Source organism: Homo sapiens, chromosome Y (genome assembly GCF_000001405.40).
Source record: "Homo sapiens chromosome Y, GRCh38.p14 Primary Assembly".
Taxonomy (NCBI): Eukaryota; Metazoa; Chordata; class Mammalia; order Primates; family Hominidae; genus Homo; species Homo sapiens.
The window spans coordinates 980,335-986,862 of NC_000024.10; the positions used below are offsets into that span (position 1 = coordinate 980,335).

The window sequence follows — 6,528 nt, forward strand, 5'->3', positions numbered from 1 at the left end:
CAGCAGAGATTTCAAACCAGGAGATGCATCCCCAGATATGGGACAGTTGAAGATTAAACAGCTGTTGGGGGGTTAATTCTGGGTTCCATAAAGACGTAGAGATTTCATGCTGTAGACCCAGGTACAATGGGGACGTCACCAAACTGCTCAGCAGCTGGTTTTGGGATGCAAGAAGGGCTATGCCTTCCCCCTGGGGCTGGGATGGAGGAAGAGTCGTGTCTACACCTGAACTCTCTGGGATTGAGATGGAGGAGGTGGTGTCCACACCCTCACCCACTGGGGCTGCCATGGAGGAGGAGGAGGGAGGTGTCCACACTCTCCACCCTGGGGTTGGGATGATGGAGGAGGAAGAGGAGGGGTGGTGTCCACACCCTCAACCACTGGGGCTGCCATGGAGGAGGAGGAGGGGCGGTGTCCATGGAGGAGGAGGAGGGGCGGTGTCCACACTCTCTCTCCTGGGGCTGGGATGATGGAGGAGGAGGAGGGGCCGTGTCCACACTCTCCTCCCTGAGGCTGGGATGATGGAGGAAGAGGGGTGGTGTCCACACCCTCACCCCTGGGGCTGGGATGGAGGAGGAGGAGGAGGGGCCGTGCCACATTCTCAGCCCTGGGGCTGGGATGGAGGAGGAGGGGTGGTGTCCACACTCTCTCTCTTGGGGCTGGGATGATGGAGGAGGAGGAGGGGCCGTGTCCACACTCTCCCCCCTGGGGCTGGGATGATGGAGGAAGAGGACTGGTGTCCACACCCTCACCCCTGGGGCTAGGATGGAGGAGGACGAGGAGGAGGGGCCGTGCCACATTCTCAGCCCTGGGGCTGGGATGATGGAGGAGGAGGAGGGGCTGTGTCCACACTCTCCCCCCTGGGGCTGGGATGATGGAGGAGGAGGAGGGGCTGTGTCCACACTCTCCCCCCTGTGGCTGGGATGATGGAGGAAGAGGACTGGTGTCCACACCCTCACCCCTGGGGCTAGGATGGAGGAGGAGGAGGAGGGACCGTGTCCACACTCTCCCCACTGGGGCTGGGATGGAGGAGGAAGAGGGGTGGTGTCCACACTCTGCCCTCTGGGGCTGGGATGGAGGAGGAGGAGGAGGGGCTGTGTCCACATTCTCAGCCCTGGGGCTGGGATGGAGGAGGAATTGGCTCTCTCATGATGCCCTCATTCCTCCCTGTCCTCCTGAAAGCGCCTTTGCAAAAATTATAACTGAAGAAATTACGACAGCGAAAGAGACCTAACCACCCACCTCCCCCCGCCCCATCTTCTTTCTAACCTCGAAACTGTCTTTATTCATTCCTGGGCATAGTAGCCTCAGAAGGAATTTAGTTTATAGTTTAAACTCTGAAACAAAACTGACAATAGCCCTTTTCCGGGAGGGCAGGGACGGCAGGAACCTTCTTGCTTGGGGACCAGCCTGCCTTGGCAGGACTAATAAATTAGCTACAAGATTAGGAATTACGCCTGAAGGACCATGCAGCCTCTGGTTCCAAGAGTCTGAACCTCCCACATATAGCTCCTGGGGATAACATCATTGTTGCAGAACCCAAGATCGGTGTTTGAGATATTTTGCAGATCCCGGATTCCAATGCAGCCGATGACACCACACAGACCGGTAACGTGGCTCAACCAGATATCAGCCATCCCACACAGGAACAGAAGACAGCACGGACTCACTTCAAACCCCTGTGATTTCACCCTCAACCTGACCAACCAGCACTCTCTGCTTCCTGAGCCCCCACCCACCAAATCATCCTTAAAAACTCCAATCGCTGGCCAGGTGCAGTGACTCACGCCTGTCATCCCAGCACTTTGGGAGGCCGAGGGGCTTTCTGTTGTCATCCTTTTTGAGCAAAATCCTGGGAACTTCATACATTGTTTGTTCCAGTATCTTCTCAGTTAATGGAGCTCCTTTGAAATGCTGACGGTCTGCTTACACAGGTTAACTCCTTGAGGAAGGGGGTTGGGTAAGGAGCACTTAGTGTCTTGTAAATCAAGGGGCCAAATGGAGTGCGTCCGGCTTTCCCAGCTGAGAGAGAGTCTATTCTCATGGGAAACAAGGCTAGGTCATTAAAGAGACAAAAAGGGAACGTCTAAAAGTAGGGTTAGTAAAAAAAACAAGGTTAGGCATTACACGTTGCTGATTGATTGACGCATGTCGTCCTCGGAGGAGCCTCCGATGAAGTCTCCTGGGTTTGAGTTGCAGCCTGGGATGGCCCTGCTGGACCTCAAGTGACCTCACCAACGAAATCTGGTTGAGTGTGTCTGATGGGACGTATGTGTGGAGCAATCAGCAGCATCCCAACAGCCGTGTGTGTCATTGGAAAGACCAGCGTGGCCGTGTCTGCGGTCAAAGCAACATCTCTTTTATTTTTTTCTTTTGAGATGGAGTCTCGCCCTGTCTCCCAGGCTGCAGTGCAGTGGTGCAGTCTTGGCTCACTGCAACCTCCACCTCCCGGGTTCAAGCGATTCTTCTGCCTCAGCCTCCCGAGTAGCTGGGTGACCGAGTACAGGTGCCTGCCACCACACCTGGCTAATTTTTGTATTTTTAGTAGAGACGAGGTGTCACCATGTTGGCCAGGCTGGTCTGGAACTCCTGACCTCACATGATCCACTCACCTTGGCCTCCCAAAGTGCTGGGATGACAGGCGTGAGCCACCTCACCTGGCCTAAGGCAACATCTTAAAACCAATTTTCCACTGCCCACTTCCTGGGATGCTCTTTGAGAAGAACTTACTTCTTTCTCAAATTAATGAGCGTTTTGCCCCGATATTCACCCATGCGTTTCTGATACGTTTGCAATTAACCTGGAGGGACTTGTGTGAGCTTATTTATTTTTCCCTAATACGTAGACATGGGTTTTAACAGATTTGAGGATCCTACGGAATTCCAGCGCTCGGGGCCAGATCCTGAAGCCTCCAGATGTCGGGTGTCGTAACCACACAGCCCGCCTTGTTATTTCACTGCAGGTGGAGTTTTCCTCGTTTACCCTCTGTGGACAGCATTCTCTTCCCCTTGTCCTGATAGGAGGCAGCCAGATGCCTAGGCAGGAAGGGGCAGGTGCCTGGTGAAACCCCACCTTCGAGTCAAAAACAGGCTGAGAACCGAAAGACCAGCCTGCTGGTCCAGAATGAAACTCGCCACCCAGAGTGACAACATCTGTTCCTATTTGCCTGCCCTTTCCCAATTGATTCTTTCTGAATAATTTTTTAATTAAATTAAATTAAATTAATTATTTATTTATTTCTGAGACAGAGTCTCGCTGTGTCGCCCAGACTGGAGTGCAGTGGAGAGATCTCAGCTCACTGCAACCTCTGCCTCCCGGGTTCAAGCAAGTGTCCTCCCTCAGCCTCCTGAGTAGCTGGGATTACAGTTGCTGGCCACCACGCCTTGGTAATTTTGGTATTTTTAAATAGAGATGGGGTTTCTCCATGTTGGTCAGGCTGGTCTGTAACTCCTGACTTCAGGAGATCCACCCACCTCAGCCTCCCAAAGTGTTGGAATGACAGGTGTCAGCCACCACACCCAGCCTGAATAATGCTTTTTAATCAATCTGACCACCGGCCTCAGCCTCCCAAAGTGTTGGAATGACAGGCGTCAGCCACCACACCCGGCCTGAATAATGCTTTTTAACCAATCTGACCTCAGGCGATCCACCCGCCTCAGCCTGCCAAAGTATTGGAATGACAGGCGTCAGTCAGCCACCACACCCAGCCTGAATAATGCCTTTTAATCAATCAAATGTTCCCGTTTCCAATACTACCTATGGCCCGCCCCTCCCCACTTCCCTTCTCTGAGGAAAGCTGTCTCATCACGTAATAAAACTCCCTGGTTTGCTCACTCTTCAGTTCTCAGCATGTCCTCATTCTTCTTGGACGCTGGACAACAACTCGGGAACCAAGATTTCACCGTTGCAATACAACCTGGGCGACAAGAGCGACCAAGGCAGGCGGATCACGAGGTCAGGAGATCGAGACCGTCCTGGTTAACACAGTGAAATCTCAGCTCACTGTGACCTCTGCCTTCTGGGTTCAAGCAATTGTCCTGCCTCAGCCTCCCAAGTAGCTGGGATTACAGGTGTGCCTAAGCCTAGCTCTGGTGGAGCATCACCAGCTGGAGGTCCCCGGCTTGCAAAGTGACCAAGAACTAAATCCTCCATCATTTCTACCCTCCAAACCCCAGAAAAAGAGACTGCAACCACTCAACTGCACAGCCAATAGCTGTGAACAAGAAGTTCAGGAACCATGGCCAAAACATTCAGGAACCTTGGCCAAAAGTTCACAGAAGTGGAGTTTAACTAAGAAGTTGATTCTGGCAATGCTTTTCCCATTAACTGGTGCATGAAATGAATTTCTTGTTTCAATAGAAACACTGCATTTTTCATTAGAGAAAATAAGCCAGAGACAGAGGCGTATGCCTATAAACCCAACATTTTGAGAGGCTGAAGTGGGAGGATTTCTTGAATCCAGGAGTTCGAGACCAGCCTTGGCAACATAGGAAGACTCTGTATTTACAAAGAATACAAAAACTAGTCCGGGTGCGGTGGCTCACGCCTGTAATCCCAGCACTTTGGGAGGCCGAGGCGGGAGGATCACGAGGTCAGGAGATCAAGACCATCCTGGCTAACATGGTGAAACCCCGTCTCTACTAAAAATACAAAAAATTAGCCAGGTGCGGTGGCAGGCGCCTGTAGTCCCAGCTACTCAGGAGGCTGAGGCAGGAGAATGGCGTGAACCTGGGAGGTGCAGCTTGCAGTGAGCCAAGATCGCGCCACTGCACTCCTGCCTGGGCGACAGAGCGGGACTCTGTCTCCAAAAACAAAAAAAAAAAAAAAAAAAAAAAAAGCTGGCAAAAGACATCTCCAGGATGTGGACAAGACACCTGCACCCCTAGCTCAGCTCCCCCACCATGACCTGGTTCTGGCCCTATGAAACCCTGCTATACTCTGTAAGCCAGGCTGCCTACTCTAACTATGGTGGAATTTTAGGTCTCCTCATGCTTTCTCTCAGCTGACCTTCCACCTTCCACCTCAGCCTCCCAAGCACCTGGGACTATAGGTGTGCACTGCTACACCCAGCTAATTTTTGTCATTTTTGTAGAACCGTAGATTTGCAATGTTGCCCAGGCTGGTCTTGAAGTCCTGAGCTCAAGCCATCCTCCCACCTGAGCCTCCCAAGTAGCCAAGACCACAGGTGTGACAATCATTCCCAGCTAGCTATTTTCGTTTTTATTGTTTCTTTGTTTTGAGATGGAGTCTCACTCTGTCACCCAGGCTGGAGTGCAGTGGTGCGATCTCGGCTCACTGCAAGCTCCGCCTCCCAGGTTCACGCCATTCTCCTGTCTCTGCCTCCTGAGTAGCTGGGACTACAGGCGCCCGCCACCAGGCCCAGCTAATTTTTTGTATTTTTAATAGAGACGGGGTTTCACCGTGTTAGCCAGGATGGTCTTGATCTCTTGACCTCGTGATCCACCCGCCTTGGCTTCCCAAAGTGCTGGGATTGCAAGCATGAGCCACCGTGCCCAGTGAGGAAATCTAATTTCTGTTTTTTTTTTTTTTTTTGAGACAGAGTCTCACTCTGTCACCCAGGCTGGAGTGCAGTGGTGCGATCTCGGCTCACTGCAACCTCCATCTCCCAGGTTCAAGCGATTCTCGTACCTCAGCCTCCCGAGTAGCTGGGACTACAGGAGTGTGCCGCCACGCCTGGCTAATTTTTGTATTTTTAGTAGAGATGGGGTTTCACAATATTGGCGAGGCTGGTATTGAACTCCTGACCTCGTGAACCGCCCGCCTCGGCCTCCCAAAGTGCTGGGATTACAGGCGTGAGGAAATCTAATTCTAAGACAGGGCTGTGATTGGAGACTGGTCTAGCGACTGCATGGGGCTTAGGTCTCGAGTGAGTGGCTTGTATTGTGTCAACATTCTCCTCCCACAGAAAGGGGATGTGGATGCTTTGAAAGGGTACGTTTGAGTTTTTGCTCTTGAGAAAGTGTTCTATTCTCTATCCTCTGCAAATCTACCTAGGGAAGACACACCACTACCTCTAGCAGTAGAGACCAAAGACCTTCATGTATACAGCAAGTCCCATACCCACCGCTGCCTTAGGAAGGCAGAAGCTCCCCCAACAAGGAGACTTCTCGTACAAGGAAAGATGGACCTGTTACCGGACAGTGGTCTCAATCCGGATCCCAAGAGAGGGTTCCTGGATCCGGTGCGAGAAAGAATTCAGGGCGGGTCCACAGTGCAAAGCAAAAGTAAGTTAATCACAAAAGTAAAGTGGCAAAAATACAGCTACCCCATAGCAAACAGGTTTGCTGAAAAGGTAGCCAAAGATAGTGAGGGAACTGATGAATTCACTGTGGCTAAATCCAGCTAAGGAGGACTCAGCTTCTACATCTAGGTATCAACAACCATCTGATTGATCCGACAGGCCCAGTTTCCACAGCATTTAAGATTATTAAGAAGGCCGGGCGTGGTGGCTCACGCCTGTCATCCCAGCACTTTGGGAGGCTGAGGCGGGCGGATCACGAGGTCAGG

The 6,528-nt window shown here is 52.0% G+C and overlaps 1 annotated feature.

Moving 5' to 3' along the window:
* Positions 694–1,193: an enhancer, noted in NCBI's record as "H3K4me1 hESC enhancer chrX:941763-942262 (GRCh37/hg19 assembly coordinates)". NCBI's record gives its function as "activates a minimal SCP1, AML or CMV promoter by ChIP-STARR-seq in naive H9 embryonic stem cells {active_cell/tissue: H9 hESC(naive)}" and the evidence as "EXISTENCE:reporter gene assay evidence [ECO:0000049][PMID:30033119]".